Genomic DNA, 23,747 nt, shown 5'->3' with positions numbered 1-23,747 from the left:
TTCAGTCACTTTCCTGCTTAGCTCAGGGGCTTGTCAAAGGCCCTGTCAGTGAAGCCTCCTTCGCTCTGCCCAAACCAAAAGTTCTAGAAGGAAGATATTGGGGATAGTCCTAGGAAATACCCCTCCCTTCCCATCTGCCACACAAATCAGAGCCACTAATGAATATACAGCCTCAGGGCACAGATACCTAAGAAAACAAGTCACCACTTCTTGAGATCACAGGCTTTATTCCTACAACCACAGGGCTTGAGCCTGACTGGGGCAAGAAAACAGAGTTTCATCTGAGAATGTCTCTTATGGGCTGGGTTCTGTTCAGGGGAGGGTGGGAACAGAGGACAAGGAAGACAAGCTCCTCTGGCCCTAGGAACAAAACACATTTACTCCTTCAAAGAAGCAGATGATCTGAATACCCTCTGGAGACTGAATCTGCCCATACAGCCCCTGGAGCCAATGGGCAGACAGTACTGGCATCTGGCACAAAAGGGAATTCAGACCCAGAACAGAAGCAGCAAAATATTTTAAAAATAGTAAATTGTTCCTGGACTCACAAATCATTGTTTTTAAGGGCAAGTGCATGCCCAATATAAGTACTGGGGCTTCCTAAGAGAGCTGACATAGGATTACACAGCTGCCTCCCTGCTTCAGTGGAGGCCCTCACATCCCCTTTGAACACTTAACTTGGGTAGGAGAGGTAGCCTTTTCGTCTCTGTTCTGGGTTCTGAGAGCTCTGCAGTCTGGAGGCACAGCAGACTGAGGCTGACCTGGGCCCTGTCCTTTCTGCCTGGCAGTCACAGGATGTTGTCTCTACCTGGAGACAAAGCTGGTTTCCGGTCCCAGACAGCTGGTCAAGGGAGGGTAGTGTGGGTCAACACTGGCCCTCAGCACTCCTGAGGGGGCAAAGAGGATGGGCAAAGTTTGGAGCAGGAGGAATCCTAGGTAAAGGTCAGGATCATGTTCACTGGATGGTCAGGCAGCGGTGGCTGAAGAGGTGACTGATGACAGATGGGTCAGCCACAGTAGACATGTCCCCGAGGTCATGGTCATTCTGAGCAATCTTCCGAAGCACTCGCCTCATGATTTTCCCTGGGGAACCACAGACCTCTAGTTACTTGGTGAAAGCACTGACCCACCCTAGCCCTGCCAAAGGCTTTCATCCACGCACACCCCACCACCACCAGGCCTCAGCCCATCCCAATCCATGGAGGCCTCTGAACATACCTGAGCGGGTTTTAGGCAAGCCAGGTGCATTCTGGATGTAGTCTGGTGTGGCAATGGGGCCAATCTTTTCTCTAACTGTAACCAACAAATCATCAAGCATTTCTTCAGCACCCTTAGCCAGACTTTTCAAAAATCAAAGTAGAGATGGCTTTGTTCCCCACCTGTTTCCTCCTCAAGTCCCTGCCCACAGAGACAGCCTCAGGTTCACTGCTTCTCTTGCTCTCAACACACTTGTCTCTTTACTCTCTCATTTTATCTTATGGAACTCAGGCTGTAGAATGAGCCTGCTAGAGTTTAAATGCCACCTTTCTAGCAGTGTGGCCTTGGGCAAGTGATTTAACTTCCATGAGTCTCAGTTTCATCATCTTTAGCATGAAGGTAACAATAAGATCTGTTTCATGGAGGTGACTCTAGGGATTAAGTGGGGTAATTCATTTAAAGCACTTAGCCTAGCGGTGGCACAAAGTATTCTAGAAATGTTGGCTATTATTATTATCCTAGTGGGAGACTAGTGGAGACTGAACAGGAAGAGGGCAATCAGCCCATGGGGCCCCCTGGAATCTGTTTGTGGTTTGGGGAGCAGCTTGCTCTAGCCCCTCCCCAACAACTTGCAGTGATAACTGGGCCTCCAAGACAGACCCTATAGTCCCTGCCCAGGGAGGCTCCTTACTCTGCTTCTTGAGCTCCTCGGTGAGCTTGGGGCTGAAGGTGTGGCCATCACACAAGGTGACAAAGCAGTAGAGGCATTCACCCTTCACAGGATGAGGGTGGCCCACCACAGCTGCCTCTGCAACAGCCTCATGTTCCACAAGTGCTGACTCCACCTCTGCTGTACTCAGCAGGTGTCCTTGTCAAGGGAAAGGAAGTGCCATGAGAGAGATCCCAGGCTCTGCCCCAGCCCATGCTCCATCTGTACCCATGGGGCAGTCCTGGTCTGGCCAAATGGAGAAGACCCTTCATTCACTCCTCAGATGACATGCTTTCAGTCACCCCACCATCCAAGTTCCCCTACTCTAGGCACATTCCAGTGTTCATTACTCCTCTAAAACCTGGGCCCAGAACTGAATGCTACACTTAGTACATGGTCTGGCCAAAGGACACTCCTGGGCTCTTGCGGAAGGCTTCGGCTGGGTGTTGTCAGAGGAGCAGAGTTAATAAGATGGGAAGGTGGCCCCTGGCCCTCACCAGATACATTGAGCATGTCATCAATCCTGCCAGTGATCCAGTAATAGCCATCCTGGTCCCGCTGGCAGCCTGGGAAGAAATGCAAAACCTAATAAATAAAAACCCTACGGTAGGATACCTGATCCACATTACCAAACTGCTACACCTTCTGCAATAGCCTTCTAACAAGTCTTCCTGCTTCCACTCTTGCCCACTGTAGTAGCCAGCCTCCAAGAGGGCACCACTGATCTCTGCCTCTTGGTATTCATAGCCCTGCAGTCCTCTTTCTCATTGTACTAGGGTTAGTCTGTGTCATCATAGGATTTGGCAGAAGTGATAGGATGTCACTTCTGAGATTAGGTTGTAGAAGACACCTAGCTTGTCTCGGTTGCATTGTCTCAGATCATTTGCTGTAGGGTAAGCTAGCTGCCATGTATTGAGTAGTCCTATGGTGAGGTGAGGAACTGAGGATTCCTGCTAACAACCATGCGAGTAAGCATGAACGTAGGTCCTCCAGGCTCACTCAAACCTTCAGATGACTACAGGCCCTACCAACAGCTTGACTGAAACTCACAAGAGACCCAGAATGAGAACTACCCAGTGAAACTGTTCACAGACTCCTGATCCTCAGAAACTGTGTGAGATAATATTTGTTATTTTAAGCTGCCAACTTTTGGGATAATTTGTTCCATGCCAATAGTATACTCACCTAAACTCTATTCTCCATAAATCCAGCAAAGTTATTTTCTAAACAGTAAATCAATTCTTAGCACTCCCCTGCTTAAAACCCCAAAAGGTGGCCAGGCATGGTGGCTCATGCCTGTAATCCCAGCACTTTGGGAGGCCAAGGTGGGTGGATCAGGAGTTCGAGACCAACATGGCCAACATGGTGAAACCCCGTCTCTACTAAAAATACAAAAATTAGCCAGGCATGGTGGCACCCGCCTGTAATCCCAGCTACTTGAGAAGCTGAGGCAGGAGAATTGCTTGAACCCGGGAGGTGGAGGTTGCAGTGAGCTGAGGTCGTGCCACCGCACTCCAGCCTGGGTGACAGAGTGAGATTCTGTCTCAAAAAAAAAACAAACAACAACAACAACAACAACAAAAAAAAGGTTTCCCACTGTACTTTGAATAAAATTCAAACTCCTCACCATGGCCCACAAGACCCTCCCTGTATTATGTACGTCTCCAACGTCATGTAATATTCTTCCCTTTGCTTGCTACGCTCCAGCCACACAGGCTTCAGTCCATTCTTCAGACATCTCAAGCTGTGTCCCTCTGCACAAAACACTCTTACTCTAGATTTTCCCATGCCTGTTTCCTTCTCACCCTTCAGGCCTCTGCTCAAATGTCAATTCAGAGAAGTCTTCTCCGACGATCCTGTGTACAGTAGCCATCCCTGCACACACTATCATGCTACCCTGTTTATTTTTCTTAACAGCATTTATCTCTATCTAAGATAAGCTTATTTATGTTTGTTGGGTTTGTCTGTCTCCCCTTACTAGAATCCCCATGAGGGAGGAGATTTTGACTACATTATTCATGATCAGTGCCTGGGCACAGGATCACAGTGCTCAGATCTTATGGATGAATGGATTGGTAGATGGATAGATGGAGAAACACAGACTCCAGACATAAAGACAAACATGACATAATAGTCATGCACTGCCACATGCCCCATCTCTTTCAACACAGGAGCATACATTGTCCATCTTTCCTCATACATCAAAGTTCGGATGGCACCATTCTGAGACCCCTCCTGCTATACTCATTCCTGCCCTTACAGTCTTTGTAGCTCTGCGTAGAAACCAGATACTGACATGTAGGACACATTCTTCTCTAATTTTCTTTACCCCTAACCAACTGATATAGTTTGGATGTTTGTCCCTTCCAAATCTCATGTTGAAATATGATCCCCAGTGTTAGAGGTGGGGCCTGGTGGGAGGTGTTTTGGTCAAGGCCGGGGAGGTGGGGGGGGCGGGGGGGACAGATCCCTCATGAATGGCTTGGTGCTGTACTTGCAGTAACTCTATGAGTTCATGTAAGATCTGGTTGTTTAAAAGAGGCTGGTATCTCCTCCCTCTCTCCCTTGCTTCCTCTCTTGCCATGTCAAACACTGGCTTTCCCTTTGCTTTCTGCCGTGATTGGAAGCTACCTGAGGCCTCACCATAGGCAGATGCCAGCACCATGCTTCCTGCACAGCCTGAAGAATGATGATCCAAAATAAACCTCTTTTCTTTATAAATCACCCAGTCTCAGGTATTATTTTATAGCAACACACCAACTCTTCCTGAAAATGGAAGTGGAAGGTACATGTCTTAGTGGGAGGTGCAAGAGGGGGATAGCTAAGGCTCACCATCTCCTGTAACATAGTATCCAGGAAACTTCTTAAAGTAGGTTGTCTCAAAGCGTTCGTGGTTCCCATAGACTGTGCGCATGATCCCTGGCCAGGGCTGCTTGAACACCTGGGGAGTGAGGAAGGGACAGTGATCACATTTGCTATGCTGTCTCACTGGAAGATAATTACAGCTTTTCTAAATGTGGGGGAAAGTGTCCTGAATGAAGTACAGGCTTTGGAGACAGAGGATCCTGGCTTGGAATCCCAGCTCTACCACTTACTAGCTAGGTGACCTCAGAGAAGTAACTTTACCCCTCTGAGCTTCAGGATCCTCATCTGTAAATCAGAGAAAATACTTTCTGTCTTCCAAAGTTATTGTGAGGATTAAATTAATAGTATATGGAAATTGCCTAGCACGGTGTTCTATTATTGATAAGTGTTTAGTAAATTTGTGTCTCCTTTTGGGCAATCCTTGAGGAAAGCAGGTCCAGTTTGATACAAATGAAAACACTCATTTAAAAAACAGTGGTGCCCACACACCAAGTAAATAATTATTGCCCAATCAGTAACATTCTTTGGCAGCAGATCGATGGAATGGATGGAATTCTAGGCTGAGTCAGAAGGCCTGGATGTAAGCCCTGTCCCTGTTACTAACTTGCTCTTGGGAAAGTGAAATGGGGTGGGGTTGAAGGGACAGGTGAGGCTCCTGCAAGTATGAATACAATAATCACAACAGCTAATGTTTATCAAGTACTAATTGTTAGTTTCTCTGCTAACCCCTTCATGTGGATTATCTAACTCAATCAAGCAAGCAACCATAGGAGACAAAGGCATTATTTTTTTCTGAGACGGAATTTTGCTCTTGTTGCCCAGGATGAAGTGCAATGGCACAATTTCGGCTCAATACAACCTCCACCTCCCCGGTTCAAGTGATTCTCCTGTCTCAGCCTCCCGTGTAGCTGGGATTACAGACGTCCACCACCACGCCCAGTTACTTTTTGTATTTTTGGTAAAGACGGGGTTTCACCATGTTGGCCAGGCTGGTCTTGCACTCCTGGCCTCAGGTGATCCGCCCACCTCAGCCTCCCAAAGTGCTAGGATTACAGGTGTGAGCCACCGTGCCCGGCCAGAGACACCACTTTAACCCTATTTTACAAATTAGAAAATGTAGATTCAGAGGTGTTAAATAACTTATCTGAGGTCACAGAAGAGGCAGAGCTAGGATTCGAACCCAGGCAGGGTGACTCCAGATCCTACGTGATTTTCTACTATGTTATAAAGCCTCCTTTCTGTAGAATCTTTGTCAAAAGAAGATGGGACTTAGTCTTCCAGACCCAAAAAGGTACCATCAGGAATCTGAGCAACTCTTAAAACGCCCTTAGGAGACTTATGGCCCAAAAGGAAGAGATGCAGGCAAAGTATCGAGGGTCCCCTCCAGGGTCTCTCAGTGAGCAAACCTCCAACCATGAAGTTTCAGTCCTAAGCAGCTACCAGGAGAGATTAGGTTATTAACTCTAAAGCAAAGTACCCTTGGCAGACCCTTTCCCTCTCTCCTTAAAGACTCCCAAGGGCCAGGGCCTCACCAGATAACCTTCAGCTTCACCTTCCAACTCTTCCCCGGACTCATTCAGGATTGCAGGAGCTACACCAAAGAATGGGAAAGTCTAGAAGCAAACGGGAGACAGAACCCAAGAAGAGGAATGAGGCAACTCTGACTCAACTCCCAAGGGGCCCCAGAACCCCAAATTCTTCACACATGTCAGTCCAGTTCTCCACTATCTAACTAGGCCAAGTGCCCCAAGACACCATCCCTGCCTAGCCCAAGACCAGCCAGGGAAGCATCACTCACAGCAGAACCGGGTTTCATGGGTGTGGCACCAGGAAGGGGAGTCAACATGTGGCCACCCTGGGGAAGTCAGAGATGAGAAATTTGAGTCAATCTTCCCACATTGTCCCTGGGCCCCAGCCTTCTGTACCCTTCACTCACTGTCTCTGTTTGCCAGAAGGTGTCCACGATGGGGCAGCGCTGGGCACCTACCACCCGGTGGTACCATAGCCAGGCCTCAGGGTTGATGGGTTCACCCACTGTGCCTAACACCTGCAAGGATGCCCGGCTATGCCTGGGGCAGGGGAATGGGAGAGAGGAAGGCTCTGAGTACTACTGGAAGACACACATACCCAGGCTTTTCTCTTGCCCCATCCTCTATTCCAGGTCAGAGAGTTGGGACAATGGAAAAGAAGAGACTGTACAAAGGCCAGCACCCAGCTCTGAGGGATACCCACAGGGCAGCAACTGGGAAGAGGTCTCACTTGGTGACAGGCTCATCTCCAAACTTCATGAGCAGACGGATGGCTGTGGGTGCTGTGTAGAACTTGGTCACCTTGTATTTGTCCACAATGCTCCACAGGCGGTTCACGTCCGGATATGTGGGAATCCCCTCAAACTGACCCATGAAGGCTGGTCATTCCCAGTCTTTCCTAATAGTCCTTCTATTCATCCCCCTACCATTCCCTCAGGTTCAGTATTTTGCCCTTTCTGACCAACCATATCTTCACTCCCTGGCCAGACAAGCCAAGATACCATCCTAGTCAGGATACGCAACCCCCTCAGGACTTCTCTTTCTCCAGAAAACAGATGATTGTATAAGTCCCCCTCCCTCTAGACCAAGCAGCCTTGGGAGGTAGTCACCCAGGATAATCTTGTCCATCCCCCAGCTAGGCCAGGTGGCTCCCTTCTCACCAAAACACTGGTGGCACCATTGGCCAGTGGCCCATAGGTGACGTAGGAATGACCAGTGATCCAACCAATGTCTGCCGTGCACCAGAACACATCCTCTGCATGGAAGTCAAACACATACTTGAAGGTTGTGGCTACATAGAGCATGTAGCCCCCAACTGTGTGAACCACACCCTGTGGGAAGAATGGGGAACAGGTTAGGGTCTTATGCCCACCCCTACTGACCACCAAATGGAGGCTGGGCAGAGCTGGAGGAAGATCCTCCTCAGGGATTCCAGCCCTGCCAGCACCCTTTTCACAGCATCCATCTCCCTTCCATCTCCTTTTCTCCATGCTCCCATCTCATCTCCTTTATCACACTCCTGATGACACATATGTCTATCAGGCCATCATTCATACCAGCACCCTCAGATGGTATTTCAGAGCCACCCACATCACTCACACATGAGCACTCATAGCACACTCATAATAGTCCCTCTGTTGTGTATTTGTGCCCACACACTCAATTACACACCATCAGAGTGAGTGGGAAAAAAAAGATAATTCCCTTTGCTTATTCCATCCCTACCCCCATCTCTATGAAAGAGAGGCCAAAATTGTGTTTCTAAAGACTTATTGAGGGATATTCCAAAGCATATGGAGATAATTTAGGGGTGGAGTGGGCAGAAGGTAGAGTGACATAGCTTTCAAGTCAATGGAAGAAACAGTTTTCTTAAGTGTTTCCGGCTCCCATGGTGTGTGCTGGCAGAGGACTACATGTTAATAGTGTGCCAGGTGGAAGGAATTGAACTCTAAGAGTTATGGTCTTAGAAGCCTGAGAGGGATCTCTGTGCCCACCCTTGGCCTTGAGTTAACAGAATAGCTCTCCTTCAACCAAACCATGGGTGCATAGGGAAAGAACATCCATGTCAGCTGTATGAAAACCCTCCACCTGAACTGTCTCACCCTGGGCCTCACCACCTATAGATTGAGGATTTATGTCTTAATTTGATTTAGAAAAGACAATGCTACATTTCCAAAACTCAGGGTTGTAGGAAAAAAATAATTTCATTACTTGTTTCCTCAGAAACTTACTTCTTACCCCTACATAATACACACACACACACACACACACACACACACACACACACACACACTTGCCTTGGGTTTGCCTGTGGAGCCACTGGTGTACAGGATGAAGAGTGGGTCCTCGGCATCACACCACTCGGGCTCACACTCATCCCCTGCCTCTTGCATGAGCTCATGCCACCACAAGTCAATCCCTTGGTTCCATGAGATCTGCAGGGATGGGCAGGGAAGAACTGTGAACAGCTCAAGATGGGGACAAGATACACCCGTACCTTGCCCCTGGAGGGAATGAGGTGGGACAGGCAGGTAGGAGTACAGGAAGGGAGAGAAGGCCCTTCAAGGATGGAATGGAACAGAAAGAACAGGAGCAGAACCCAAGCTTACTGAGTACTCCAACCACCCTGCCATCCTACCCCCATCTCTACCCCAGAACTCCTCTCACCTGGCCTCAGGCTGAGGAGGAACCCTTGGCTGGTCCCTTCCCATCCTTCAATTCTGAGCTGAAATGTCACCTTCTTGGAAAGCCTTTACCTGAACAGTATCTGATAGATTGCTACCCCCAACCCTGCTATTATTATTGATCACAACACCATGTTTCTTTCCCACACAGTACATATTTCCTGTTATTTTGTTTAGTTGTCTACTTGATTACTGTCTCCCCATCTAGATAGCGACATCTATGAAGGAGGTGAAATGTCTTTCCTCCCGACCCCTGCCATATCTCCCAACACCTAGCAAAGTGCCTGGCACTCAGTCAATTTTTGTTGGATGAATGACTATGCACACACAGGTCTACATACATACATATGTACTTATGGGACTAGGCTCATTAGCAGGGATGCGGACACCACACAATTCAGAAATGCAAAATTAGTCAGAGCTTACAGGTGAGGTGGGCACCTGACCCTGTTAGTAGTAAAATAAGTCAACAGATCTTGGTCCAAGCACTTTTGCCTACATGTCCAGACCCAATCCACATCTGCGTGTTTCCTACCCTAGCTCTGCTCCTGCCTTTACACCACTGGTACCAATAGGGTTTCCCATAGAGACTTTTGCTTGAGGGGACAGGTTCCATTCAGCAGGAAGCTTTGCTTCAAGTTGGTGAAGAAGGACCAAGGTGGACTTCTCCCAGTAGAAGGATGTCCCCCTATGCCTTTGATAATTACTTCTGGATCTGTCATCCTGAAACTTCTCTAAATTCTCCTTTGAAACTGTTTTACTTTTCTGTCTATATCACCTCTTTGAACACCAATTTTGAGTCTACCATCTGCTGAATGAAGTTAGATCCCTTGAATTTGTCCAAAATCTTCAGTGTACTTCAATACCAGTTCTGCCACTTCCTAGCTATATGACCTTGGGCAAATCACTTTACCTTAAGTCTCTCCTTTTACAAATGAGGACAGTCATTCTTGCCTTAACAGACTCACAGGATGTGGTAAACACCAAAAGAAAAAAGTATTATCTAGTAAACATCAAGCCTTGGATTGCCCCAAGGGTAGAGGTTGGGGTGAGATGAGGAAGACTGATGAATGTCAGGAGAGACAGAGGTTAGTTCAGTGACTACTGGGAGTTAAACTTAAGAGTGTGGGGCTGGGCGCGGTGGCTCACGCCTGTAATCCCAGCACTTTGGGAGGCCAAAGTGGGCAGATCACCTGAGGTGAGGAGTGAGTTCAAGACCAGCCTGGCCAACATGGTGAAACCTCATCTCTACTAAAAATACAAAAAGTAGCCAGGCGTGGTGGTAGACACCTGTAATCCCAGCTACTTGGGAGGGTGAGGCAGGAGAATCACTTGAAACCAGGAAGCAGAAGTTGCAGTAAGCCGAGATCGTACCACTGTACTTCAGCCTGAGCGACAGAGTGAGACTCCATCTCAAAAAACAAAAACAAAAACAAAAACAACAAAAAAAACCCACAAAAACTTAAGAGTGTGATGATAGGAACTGTTTGGGGTTTGCTTTAGCTGTCACAAAGTCCTTTCATATTAATTAGATTCTTGTATGTTCAATGGCCCTGGCTGGCAGGTAGACATGATGGTGTAAGATAAATGCCATTCTCCCATTATAAGGATATATGCTAATTTGTTGTGTGCATATTTGGTTAAAAAAACTTCTGGAGTGTTAGATATATAGCTTGATAAATTAGAAAATGACTCTCTAACCACTCCGTTCTTTCTGTACCACCTGCCCCTTATGGTAGAGAATTTGAAATTTCTGGATTATCAACATCATAAAAACGACAAGCCTAGAAAAAGGAAGAAGAGAGAGAAAGCTGCCTACGGTTAGAAAACATAAGAACACACCTGATTTGGTCTATCCATATGCATCTACACATACATTGTCACATGGGTACTTTTTTTCCTGCCAAATGATCACTTGAGATGGGGGCACTAAGGTATTCAACCAGAAGTATCAATACTGCTTTGGACAAATGGTGCTGGTCTACAGCACTGTGAACTGCCACAGAACAGGCACTAAGTACATGTAAGGACAAGGCATAGTTACAACTGTGGCTCTGCAATGAGGGCACTCTTATAATCTTATTATTTCTTTTGTGGGTGGGTGTGTATATAGAGGTGGAGGGGTCAGAGTACTCCAGGTGTGGAACTGATAACTAGCACCAGGAAGCAGAGTGAACTCAATTAGCAAAGCAACCTTTGATTGTGAATTAGGTGTGTGCCTATGAGGCCCCAGGCTCTGCACCAGGAAAAGGTCTGAATTTTCTAAAATAAGAATTGAGGAGTTGGCCTTTGTCCTTGGACCAGGATAGTCTCAAGGAGGGCAGCTGCCATGTACGGGAGAGGAATATGAGGGAGCTCATAGACGATATGGTTGAGGAGGGTCCCTGCAAACCCTGCCAGGATCTCCCTGGAAGATTGTTTAAGGATAAAGGGGTTTGGAGCCCTGCCAGGATTTTTGCAGCTCTTTTGAAAACTATTTTTTAATTTTTAAATATGGGGCCCATTGTCAGAAAGATTTTTGCAGCTTTGACTGCAATTCTCAGACCAACAACCTGGACTTTTTAAGCCTATTTTTATGCTCTTTGGTATTTTGGAAACTGGTTATTTTCACCTCCAAGAAACAAAAATCCAGTAGCCTTTGGCCTGAAGGTCTCTGGTATTAAGAATTACAAGAGTTTGTTATTTCTTTTCTGGTCTCTGTTTTAGAAATGCCAATCTGTCTGTTGCATTAAGGGGAAGGAAAAAACAGCTAACATTTATTGAGTAGTTACTATGTGCCAAACACCTTACATATATTGACAAAACCCGATAACATAGGTATAATTATTATCCTTATCTTACAGATGGAGAAACAAGCGAGAGAGCTTAAGTAATTTGTTCAAGTTTACACAGCAGCAGATGGCAGAGCCAGGATTTGAACCCAAGTAATCTGGCTCCAGAGATTACAATTTAAGCCACTAAGTTTGTCACCTCTTTCAAAAGAAAGGGTGTAGGTCCTGCCTGAGTTTTAAAAGGAAAGCAGTATGCCCTAGGAATCAGATCTGTCTCCGCCATGCTAATGAGAATAGAGAAAAGGGGCTTATATCTACCATTGGCCTAAGAGGTTAATCATAGCAGATTTAGAGTAAGACACCCTGTGAAGATGGTAAAATCCAGAGGAATAGTGAGCTTTATGTGTTGTTTTAGGAAGGGAAGCTGTTTCCTTTTATAACATGTGTTATCATCTCTCCATTACTGATAAGGAAACTGAATCCCAGAGGGGAGAATTGACTTACTCAAGGTCATACAGCTAAAAATTGGTCTCTGGACTTCAGGCCCACTCTTTCCTCGATACTAATCTGCTTTGAGCACCCCCTTATGGATCTCCCTTCTTAGAACCACCTACAATATGACTTTTGTTCAGTTTAGCACTTAATCATATTACAAAGTTATATGCAGTTTATAAATCCCAAAGCACTATATAAATGTATTTAGGAATCTCCTCTGCTGTCCTGTATAAAACTTAGATTTTCCTTTGTATTAATAATACATGTCTAACTCCCCAACTTGACAGTGAATTCCCAAAGTCAGGGTCTGAACCTCCTCCACCTCCTCCTCCTCCTGTCTCTCGGCTCTGCTCCAGCTACCTGCACAGTAAATGTTTTCTGACAGGTTACCTTGTCCCCTCTCCCACAAAGGTCCTGAGTATCAGGATAAAATGTGTTCTGCTGTTACCTCTCTAAGATCCATACTCTATACCAATTCACAGAGGCAGTAACGGACATTTAATTTCACCACCCTTCAGTGGCTTAGATGTCAAGTTGCCCAGGGGCAAGGGGAAGGAGGTTAGGTCTGGCAGCCACCTCAATGGGGCAAACAGGCAAAGGGCAGATGAGCACACAGACAAGCAAACAGAGAAGCGGTGCCCACGGCAGTGCAGAAATGGATACCTGGGGCTGAACACGCTTGGATTTCTCTTTCAGTTTACCCTGTTAAGAGCCCAGGATGAAAAGGGTAGTGAGGAGGGTCCAAGTATACAGGGAGTGGGAGGAAAGGGTCAGTGTGTCATAAACCCCAAACTCCCTTCTCACTGGTCCTCCCAGCTTCCATTTTCCTGATCCTGATTCCAGCCCCTATATATGTAAAACCCCTAACACTGATTGGGCTTTCCAACTTCCCTAAACTAGACTACAGCCTCTCTAGCCCTAAGACCCCTCAGGGAGCCTCAAGTCACAGACTCTTACTCAACCCCAGAACTTTGATCCCTCATGCTGCTCAGCCTGGAGGCCATCACTGGGCATTTCTACCATTCCCACCAGAAGCCTGGGGGTCCAAAGCTAACAAAGGCCATATTGTGAGGGCTGGACTCTGGTCCTTCCAAGGTGGGCATCCCTTAGGCCACAAAGATAGCCCACCCCACATCACAGCCTAGTAATGGAGATGACTATATATTGTCACTCAAGTTAGACATTTCTAACACAAGCCTAGGCCCTGAGGATCCCCTGTGCCCACAAGGATACCCCAACCAGCATAGGAGTCTCCCTTACAATCGCTTGTGCTATGTTCTCAAGGTACAAGGGCCTCTCTACCCACAGTCAAGGTCAAAGTCTTCCAGTTCCCACCTAGCCCTGCTAGAGGAGGCATTCCTAGAATTGCTCCTGGATCCTCAGTATACTGATGAGCAGGCAAAGAAGGACATCAAGAATTTTCTAGGCAGGAAAAGTGAAGGAATTTGAGCCTGGAGAAAGGCATAGCAGTGCCAGACTCACCTGCACATCTGGGCATGACCTCTTAATTGGGGGGGACTGGCTGGTGGAGTCACCCATGCCGAGCTCTGCCCGCCCCAGGTGCTTGACCACAATGCAGCATCTTACTGGGAAACCCCTGGAGAAGAGAAAAGCCTAAAGTGGTAGCCTTGTTGGCTCAAAGGGAACTTGGCAAGACCCACCCATGTCCATTTAGGGTAGAGGGGACAAAGGGAACCTGGCACTGGGGAAAGGCTCAGTCAACTCAGACAGTAGCCAAACACACTTACTTCTCCTGACACTTCTGCAGGGCCTCGTCAGCCAGCTCCTTCAGGTTCACAAGCTTTTCCCCCCTGTAGAAGGCATCTTTGGGGAGCAACAGACATTCCAGGCCTTAGTAAGCCCCATGCTGCCTAGTGGGCACAATGTCCATAGGGCCCTTCCTGAGTAGGCCTCTTAACTCTGGCTCTTCCAGCTGATTCGAGCTGACAGAGGGTCAGCTGAGGTGGGACCAGGAGAGAAAAGGCAGGCAGTCTCTACCCTCTATGCTGAGTAGCCCCAAATACCAATGAGCTGATTGGAGACCAAGGCTTGAGGTATGGGGGGTTCTGGAGAAGAGGTGAGAGAATTAGTCACCTGTAGTGATGAGAAGACTGCAGCTGGAATCCAAGATCCGTTCACATAGAGACTCTGAAGAGAAGCCTGCAAACTAGGGAAGGGAAGAAAGTCTGAGGGAGAGAAGAAAGCCCCAGGGATTGAGTGAATGAAGAAAGGGGTTGCTCATGGAACTTTCAGGATCTCTAAGCCAGGGTCCTAGAAGAAACTGAATAACTAATATGGACCTATGACACAAACCTTCTAAGCTCCTTAGTTTGTTATTTAAGACCCTCCATCATCTAGGCCCAACCTACTTCTCCAGAGCCCCACCCCCCCGCCTGCCCCTTTTCACCAGCCCAAACTCCTACCACAATGGAGTGCAAAGCCCCAATGCGGGCACATGCCAGCATGGCCACCACAAGCTCTGGGATCATAGGCATGTAGATGGCCACTCGGTCCCCCTTCTGAATGCCTGCAGGTAAAAGCACAGAATATGAACCATGAACCCTTCTTGCTGCTACTTGCTCCCTCCCATCCAGCTGGCCTCCCTCCCAGCTGACCTGTTCTCTTCCTCTGTTACCAAATTCTTTCCATCCCTTGCCCTCTCCCCATAAGTCTCAGATACTCAGATACCCCAAGGCCAGACCCCCAGTCCTTTCCCACACCCCCACACTCACCCTGTTTTCGGAGAACATTGCTGAACTGACACACTTGGACCAGAAGCTGATGGTATGTGATCTGAGTGGTCTCCCCTGGCTCATTGCCCTCCCTGAGACATACCAGAAAGAACCAGTGATTAGGGGTATAACTTCTTCCCCAAACAAGAAACAGGCAGAGTCATAAAATCCATTCAGTGACACTAAGGCCTGGAACTGTTCTATGAGGATGAGCTATCTGCCCACCATCAATCTTGCCATCACCAATCTTGAGCTGACGGGTCAGATACTTTGGCCATTCAAGATATTTTATACACATGTTGTATGTCATTAGAAAATGCACTGTCCATCTCTGATCCTTGATGAAATGGAGTGACGGCCCCTTCTCTTCCATCCTAGTAATGTATTAAGGAGAAGTGAAATCACAGATGTGATTCCTTCTGATGAGGCATCAAGACTGCATTATTCAGAGTAGGGTCTCCAGATCACTTGTGCCTAAATCATCTAGAGGATTTGTAGATTCCTGGGCCCCAGCTCAAACATACTGAATTAGAATCACAGGGTCCAAGGATCTGCTTCTTTATTACAAGATGGTACAAGGAATTAGTAGGGGATTCTTGAGAATTGGCCAGGCGCGGTGGCTCACGCCTGTAATCCCAGCACTTTGGAAGGCCAAGGTGGACAGATCAAAGGTCAGGAGTTTGAGACCAGCCTGGCCAACATGGTGAAACCGCGTCTCTACTAAAAATACAAAAATTAGCTGGGTGTGGTGGTGTGTGCCTGTAATCCCAGCTACTGGGGAGGCTGAGGCACGAGAATCCCTTGAACCCAGGAGGCAGAGGTTGCAGTGAGCTGAGATCACACTACTGCACTCCAGTCTGGATGACAGAGTGAGTTTCCATCTTGAATAAATAAATAAAGTTTGAGAATCGCCATCCTTTATCAGGTGATTTCTGTCTACCTCCTCAGCCTTGCCTCCCACTCCTTCCTAGGCTTTAGCCTGGTTTACTTCAGTCATTCCTTCATGCATTCATTTGCTTATTCAACAACTACTATGTGCTATCTACATGTATAGAAATAAGGCACCAATGGGCGGGGCGTGGTGGCTCTTTCCTGTAATCCCAACACACTAGGAGACTGAGGCAGGTAGATGACCTGAAGTCAGGAGTTTGAGACCAGCCTGGCCAATGTGGTGAAACCATGCCTCTACTAAAAATACAAAAATTAGCTGGGTGTGGTGGCACACGCCTGTAATCCCAGCTACTTGGGAGGCTGAGGCAGGAGAATAGCTTGAAGGGAGGTGGAGGTTGTGGTGAGCCAAGATCACGCCACTGCACTCCAGCCTGGGCGACAGAGTAAGACTCCGTCTCAAACAAACAAAAAAAAGAAGAAATAAGGCACCAATGAACAACATAAGTAAGATACCTGATATCATGGAGCTTATATTCCAATGATAGTGTGGGTAATAAACAAATAACAAATATAACCAGGATAATTTCAGATTATGATAAGCATTATAAATAGAGCAGAATGATATAAAAATGAGTGACTAGGGAGAAATACTTTTAAAAAATATACTATCTTGGGTCAGGCACGGTGGCTCACACCTGTAATTCTAACACTTTAGGAGGCCAAAGTGGGCCCATCTATTGAGGCCAAGAGTTCAAGACCAGCCTGGCAACATAGCAAGACCGCATCTCTAAAAACATTGAGCTGGATCCGGCTGGGCACGGTGGCTCATACCTGTAATCCCAGCACTTTGGGAGGCCGAGGCAGGTGGATCACGTGAGGTCAGGAGCTCAAGACCAGCCTGACCAACATGGAGAAACCCCGTCTCTACTAAAAATACAAAAATCAGCTGGGTGTGGTAGTGCATGCTTGTAATGCCAGCTACTCGGGAGGCTGAGGCAGGAGAATCACTTGAATCTGGGAGGCGGAAGTTGCAGTGGGCCAAGATTGTGCCACTGTACTCCAGCCTGGGCAACAAGAATGAAACTCTGTCTCAAAAAAAAAAAAAAAAAATTTTAGCTGAGTGTGGTGTCATGCACCTATAGTCCCAGCCACTCAGAAAGATGAGATGGGAAGATCTCTTGGCTCATGCCTGTAATCCCAACACTTTGGGAGGCCAAGGCAGGAGGATCACCTGAGACCAGGAGTTCAAGACCAATCTGAGCAACACAGCAAAACCTCATTGCTAAAAAAAAAAAAATCGTTTTCAATTAGCTGAGCATGGTGGTGCACACCTGTAGTCTCAGCTACTCAGGAGGTTGAGGCAGGAAGATCGCTTGTACCCTGGAGGTCAAGCCTGCAGTGAGCTGTAATCATGTCACTGAACTCCAGCCTGGACAACAGAGTGAGTCCCTGTCTCAAAAAATAAATAAATAAATGTTTCCCTTAGTGGTTTTTTTCCAATTTTATGATTTTTTTGAATAAGTAATACATACAAGTGGGACTACATAAAAAGATACATAATGAGAAGTGTTCTCCCCACTCCTATCTCCCAATCACCCTGCCTACTGGCAAACCACAGTTTGGGTTTTGTGATTTGTTTTTTAGAGACAGGGTCTCACTCTATTGATAGGCTGGAGTACAGAGGCACAATCATAGCTCACTGCAGCCTCCAACTCCTGGGCTCAAGCAATCCTCTTACTTCAGCCTCCTGAGTAGCTGGGACTACGGGCACATGCTACCACACCTGGCTAATTTTTTTATTTTAAAATTTTTCATAGAGGCAGAGTCTCGATATATTGTCCAGGGTGGTCTCCAAACTCCTGGCCTCAAGCAAAACTGCTTCAGCCTCTCAAAGTGCTGGGATTACAGGCGTGAGCCACCATGCCCAGGGCAAAACAGTTACCAATATTCTGTGTGACTTTCCAGAAACAATCAATATTCAGACAGGACCATTCTTTGTAGGACACAGGGCTAGGGTAATTCAACTAGTGTGGAATGACCAAAATAATTACTTTGCAAGAAGTCTGTATCATTATGATCTTTAATAAGACCCTTGAGATATCATTGAAGACCAAAATTTGAAAATTGAATGTTAAAAAACTGAATTTTACAGGAGGCTGAAGCAGGAGAATCGCTTGAATCCGGGAAATGGAGGTTGCAGCAAGCTGAGACCGTGCCATCGCACTCCAGCCTAGGCGACAAGAGTGAAACTCTGTTTAAAAAAAAAAAAAAAAAAAATTTGGCCAGGCACAGAGGCTCACACCTGTATTCCCAGCACTTTGGGAGGCCAAGGCAGGCAGATCACCTGGGGTCAGGAGTTTGAGACCAGCCTGGCCAACATGGCAAAACCCCATCTCTACTAAAAATACAAAAATTAGCCGGGCATGGTGGTGCACGCCTGTAGTCCCAGCTACTTGGGAGGCTAAGGCGGGAGGATCATTTGAACCCAGAAGGTGAAGGCTACAGCGAGCGGCGATCACACCACTGCACTCCAGCCTGGGAAACAGAGTAAGACTTTGTCTCAAAAAAAAAAAAAAAAGGATTTTAATGTTGTTCAGAAAAGAGATGAACACCTCATAGTCCCCAGTCAAGCACAGGGTAACAGGGGTAGGAAGAACTGCTCTACTTAAGGGACAGGTCTGTCAGACAAGCATATATACTACATGCATTTGTTTACATAGTCTCATTTTTTCTACACAAATGATGGCATACAATACACACTATTCTGTATCTTTTGTTAATTATTATATGCATTCAATAAAATGCACAAATCTTATGTGTAGAAATTGATCATCTTGATTTTTCAAATTTAACAATATACCTTGATATCATTCTTCACCAAGACTTAAAGAACTATTTCTCTTTTTTATTTGTTGTTGTTGTTGTTTTTGAGACAGGGTCTCACTCTGTCACTCAGGCTGGGGTGCAGTGGCACCATCACAGCTCACTACAGCCTCAACCTCCCAGACTCAAGTGATCCTCCCACCTCTGCCTCTTGAGCAGTTGGGACTACAGGCCAGAGTCACCATGTCTGGCTACCTTTTTTTTTTTTTTTTTTTTTTTGCAAAGACAGGATCCTACTATGTTGCTCAGGCTAGTCTGGAACTCCTGGCCTCAAGTGATCCTCCAATCCTCCTGCCTCAGCCTTCCTTCCAAAGTGTTGGGATTACAGGTGTGAGCCACGGTGCCAAGCTTAAAGAGCTATTTCATTATCTTTCTCAGCTGCAAAATATTCCACTATTTGTATGTACTGTAATTTATTTAACAAATAAATGCTTCAATGAATATTTTTATTTTTATGTCACTTTACTCACCTGCAAGTATATCTGTAGGATGAATTACCAGAAGTGGACCTGTTGGTTCAAGAGATGTGTGCTTTTTTTTTTTTTTTTTCCCAAGATGGAGTTTTGCTCCTGTTGCCCAGGCTGGAGTAAAATGGCGCGATCTTGGCTCACTGCAACCTCCGCCTCCTGGGTTCAGGCAATTCTTCTGCCTCAGACTCCTGAGTAGCTGGGATTACAGGCGTGCACCACCACACCTGGCTAATTTTTGCATTTTAGTAGAGATGGGGTTTCACCATGTTGGTCAGGTTGGTCTTGAACTCCTGACGTCAGGTGATCCACCTGCCCTGGCCTCCCAAAGTACTGGGATTACAGGCGTGAGCCACCGTGCCTGGCTGATGTGTGCATTTTAAATATTGATAAATATTAGGGAACAACTACTTTAAATAAGATGGTCCTGGAAGGCCTCTCTCTGGAGAGGTGATATTTGAGCCAAGACCTGAATAATGAGAGGTAGGCAATCATACTAATTCTTGGGAAGAGTATTCTGGGGAAAAGGAGCATCAAGTGAAAAGGCACTGAGACCTTTTCAAAGAAAGAAAGAAAGACAGTATGGCTAGATTTCAGTGAGCAAGAAGTTGGGTAAGAATGAGAGGTAGGCAGCAGCCAAATCACGTAGAGCCTTGTAGGCAATAGTAAGAAGTTTGAATTTTACTGTAAGTGGATCCCTGGTTTCCCTTGGCAAGTTCAGGTCCACCTCCACGCTTTTGGCCACATCATTGCCCCTGCTCAGAATATTCTCCCTCCTCCTTCAGACACCAGCACCATCTGGCTCTCCCTTAGCACCACAGACCATTGCTTCCCCTCTCCTTCCTTACTGCACAGAGCACTTATGAAGGAGGTAACTGAAACCTAGAGAGATTATTGGTCACACAATAATAAGTGGCAGAGCCAAGAATAGATGCTCAGGTCTTCTGATTTCAAGTCAGGACTCTCCCTCATAGTGTGAAGGACAGGGACTGGCAGGGAAGCCAGGCCTTTTCTTACTAACAGAGGTCACACAGAAGATTATCAGCCTTTTTCCAGTTCCTGGCTCGATGAGTCAGTAGGCTTTAACCCTCCTAGGGATGAGAGAAGCCAAACACAGGGAGCTTACTAAAGTGGGAAAGAACAGGGAGAGAGGAAGCTGGCAAACGGCCCTGAATGCCAGAGGCAGAAAAGCCATTTCCTTAACTGGCTCACTGACAAGTGCCACAGGAACTTCAGAACGTCTCCGGTTATGGCTGAATGCCAACATATACATACCCAAGCACATGTGTCCCCATATGCAAACCACATACCAACTCACCTATGTGCGCTCACTTGTATAAAATCACATATAAATATACAAACATTCTAGGCATAAAAGCTGCCCATCTGCACACATAGGCACAAACAAGGATAAATATATGCACCCAGGATTCAAACATGGACTTATCTGTATCTGCAAGTACAACCACCATATACATGTAGCCACCTATGTGCACAGTGTGCCCCTTCAGAAACTCTCTATCAAATCATTCTGTTTTGCCAGGTGCCACACATGTAATCCCACACTTTGGGAGGCTGAGGTGGGTAGATCACTTGAGGCCAGGAGTTTGAGACCGGCCTGGCCAACATGGCGAAGCCCCAACTCTACTAAAAAGACAAAAATTAGCCGGGCATGGTGGCGCATGCCTGTAAACCCAGCTACTCAGGAGGCTGTGGTGGGAGGATCACCTGAGCCCAGGAGATGGAGGTTGCAGTGAGCTGAGATTGCGCCATTGCACTCCACCCTGGGTGACAGGGCAAGACTGTCTCAAAAAAAAAAAACACATTCTGTTTTATTTTTTTCATGAAACGTTCCATTATTTGAAATTATCTCATGTATGTTAATTACTTATATATTATCTGTTTTCTTCACTGGAATATAAGCTCCATGATAGCAGAGATCTTTTTTTTTTTTTTTTTTTTTGAGATGGAGTCTCGCTCTGTCACCCAGGCTGGAGTGCAATAGTGCGATCTCGGCTCACTGCAACCTCCGCCTCCAGGGTTCAAGCAATTCTCCCTGCCTCAGCCTCCCAGGTAGTTGGGATTACAGGCACCCACCATCACACCTGGCTAATTTTTGTATTTTTAGTAGAGACGGGGTTTCAAGATGTTGGCCAGGCTGGTCTCACACCCCTGACCTCAGGTGATCCGCCTGCCTCGGCCTCCCAAAGTGCTGGGATTACAGGCGTGAGCCACTGCACCCAGCTGACAGCAGAGATCTTATTTGTTTTCTTCACTGCTACATCCCTAGCACCTCAAGTACAGCCTAGTACATAGAGAGTGCACAAGAAGAAATAAGCACAACCTATGCAAGTACAACTTATTTGAGCCCACTTCCAACCGTGAAACACACACACACACACACACCACAGTGTGCATTCCTCTCCTTGGCTATGGGCTCAAGTTATACATTATTGATATAAGCACCTTACTCATTCCAGTGTCTTCTTTCTCTGACATACACACCAGGCTGGGGCCCCTGGCTGGTTGGGAAAGGTGAGGGGCAGGGTATTGGCCTACTGCAAAATCCCAAGCCCTCTAGGATATCAGAACTCTTTTTTTTTTTTTTTTTTGAGACGGAGTCTTGCTCTGTTACCCAGGCTGGAGTGCAGTGCCGCAGTCTCGGCTCACTGCAAGCTGTGCTTCCTAGGTTCACGCCATTCTCCTGCCTCAGCCTCCCGAGTAGCTGGGACCACAGGCGCCTGCCACCACGCTCAGCTAATTTTTTGTATATTTAGTAGAGACGGGGTTTCACCGTGTTAGCCAGGATGGTCTCAATCTCTTGACCTTGTGATCCACCCGCCTCGGCCTCCCAAAGTGCTGGGATTACAGGTGTGAGCCACCGCGCCCGGCCAGGATATCAGAACTCTTAAAAGAACATCCAATTTAGTCTCTTAACTCTGAGATCCAAAGAGGCTATTAGCTATGCTTGGCATCACAGGGTGGGTTACCACAGCAGAGCAGGGACCACGACTTAAGGTCCAGGCCTCTTTCCTCTACACCAGGAGCTGCAAGCTCAAAAATTGGCAGGATCTAGGCACGGAATGTAAATAAGTGGACCACATGAAAGAAAATATATGATAAAGATAAGAAATAGTTCCCTTTCCACTTCCCTATAAGAAAACAGCAGCACATGTATAATAAACCTTAGCCTCAGTTTCAGGGGAACAATAGGGAAGGGGAAGGACAGGAAAACTGGCAAATGCATGCTCTGGCAAAAGGAGGCATCTAGTACCTAAACTTGGTTCCTGTCAGCTTTTGCTTGCTAGGAATCAGGGCTCAATGTTGTCAATTTTTTCGATTTTTCAATAGCAGCCTGGAATCTATTTTTGTCAAAACTTTTGAATTGGCCAGGCACGGTGGCTCACGCCTGTAATCCCAGCACTCTGGGAGGCTGAGGCGGGCGGATCATGAGGTCAGGAGATCGAGAGGACGGTGAAACCCCATCTCTACTAAAAATACAAAAAATTAGCCGGGGGTGGTGGCGGGCGCCTGTAGTCCCAGCTACTCGGGAGGCTGAGGCAGGAGGATGGCGTGAACCCAGGAGGTGGAGCTTGCAGTGAGCCAAGATCACACTACTGCACTGCACTCTGCACTCCAGCCTGGGCGACCGAGCGAGACTCCGTCTCAAAAAAAAAAAAAAAACTTCTGAATTTATATGTGTTGACCACTAATTTTTTTAAAGCTTTAAGGCCAGTTGCAGTGGTTCATGCCATAATACCAGCACTCTGGGAGGGCAAAGCAGGAGGACTGTTTGAGGACAGGAGTTCAAGACTGGCCTGGGCAACATGGTGAGAACTTGTCTCTACAAAAAATTTTATAATTAGCCAAGCATGGTAGCTAATGCCTATGGTCCCAGCTACTCGAGAGGCTAAAATAGGAGGATCACATAAGCCCGGGAGGTCAAGGCTGCAGTGAGCCACGTTGATGCTACTATACTCTAGCCTAGCAACAGAGACCCTGTCTCGCCCCTGCCTACCAAAAAAAAAAAAAAAAAAAAAAGGTTTAAACACTGTGAATCAAACAAAACTATTAATGAGAAATTTAGCTGGTGGGATAACATGGGGAACCCTTGGTATAAACCAAACTACTTTTCCTTCACCTGGAGGCCATATGGTTGGTGTGACAACCCATGGTACACAGTCACTAGTCCTTCTCATCTTCTTCCCCTAGGGAACCTCCTCCAAGGAGTCTTCTCCAACTACTTCATTCTCACACTCTCGAAATTTACTTTAACCCATTATTGATTCAAAATCCATTTAGAATTAGACTACCTCTCTTCACATCTATTTCTACCATCCTAGTCCAAAACTACCATTAGGTAGTTCAGATTATGTCACCCTTCTGCTCAGAATGCTCAGATCACTTCCCATTTCATTTTGAGTAAAAGTCAAAGTCCTCACAATGGCCTACATGATCTAGTCCCTCATTTCCTCTCTGTCCTCACATACAACTATTCTCTCTTCCTCTCCCTTTCCCTCTGCT

General features: G+C 46.7%; 1 protein-coding gene across 13 annotated transcripts in view, besides 1 other annotated feature; it reads right to left on the bottom strand.

Annotated features, from left to right (window-relative positions):
- ACSS2 (acyl-CoA synthetase short chain family member 2) overlaps window positions 211-23,747 on the bottom strand; it is a 52,971-nt gene continuing 29,434 nt past the window's right edge. For 3 of the 13 annotated variants that reach the window (NM_001242393.2, XM_047440294.1, NM_018677.4), the window contains exons 3-18: window positions 14,983-15,074; window positions 14,674-14,777; window positions 14,345-14,417; window positions 13,999-14,074; window positions 13,733-13,847; window positions 8,598-8,735; window positions 7,461-7,631; window positions 7,031-7,164; window positions 6,708-6,840; window positions 6,570-6,626; window positions 6,304-6,384; window positions 4,739-4,847; window positions 2,404-2,472; window positions 1,889-2,065; window positions 1,219-1,293; window positions 211-1,083 (exon numbers count right to left, since the gene is read on the bottom strand). In NM_001242393.2, the coding sequence (NP_001229322.1) occupies window positions 956-1,083; window positions 1,219-1,293; window positions 1,889-2,065; window positions 2,404-2,472; window positions 4,739-4,847; window positions 6,304-6,384; window positions 6,570-6,626; window positions 6,708-6,840; window positions 7,031-7,164; window positions 7,461-7,631; window positions 8,598-8,735; window positions 13,733-13,847; window positions 13,999-14,074; window positions 14,345-14,417; window positions 14,674-14,777; window positions 14,983-15,074 (1,732 nt within the window). In that variant the 3' untranslated portion in view covers window positions 211-955. Of the gene's footprint in view, window positions 1,084-1,218; window positions 1,294-1,888; window positions 2,066-2,403; window positions 2,473-4,738; window positions 4,848-6,177; window positions 6,208-6,303; window positions 6,385-6,569; window positions 6,627-6,707; window positions 6,841-7,030; window positions 7,165-7,460; window positions 7,632-8,597; window positions 8,736-12,913; window positions 12,953-13,732; window positions 13,848-13,998; window positions 14,075-14,344; window positions 14,418-14,673; window positions 14,778-14,982; window positions 15,075-19,226; window positions 19,266-23,747 lie in introns of all 13 variants that reach the window. The other 10 variants (XM_011528909.3, XM_011528905.2, XM_011528911.2 and 7 more) reach the window with 7 other exon arrangements.
- Window positions 6,131-7,330: an enhancer, noted in NCBI's record as "CDK7 strongly-dependent group 2 enhancer chr20:33508643-33509842 (GRCh37/hg19 assembly coordinates)". NCBI's record gives its function as "activates an origin of replication core promoter dependent on BRD2, BRD4, P300/CBP, MED14 and CDK7 cofactors, with strong dependence on CDK7, by STARR-seq in HCT116 cells {active_cell/tissue: HCT116}" and the evidence as "EXISTENCE:reporter gene assay evidence [ECO:0000049][PMID:35650434]".

Source organism: Homo sapiens, chromosome 20 (genome assembly GCF_000001405.40).
Source record: "Homo sapiens chromosome 20, GRCh38.p14 Primary Assembly".
In the NCBI taxonomy this organism is placed as follows: Eukaryota; Metazoa; Chordata; class Mammalia; order Primates; family Hominidae; genus Homo; species Homo sapiens.
Note: the sequence above shows the minus strand (reverse complement) of the source record. Positions and strands in the feature narration are given on the sequence as shown.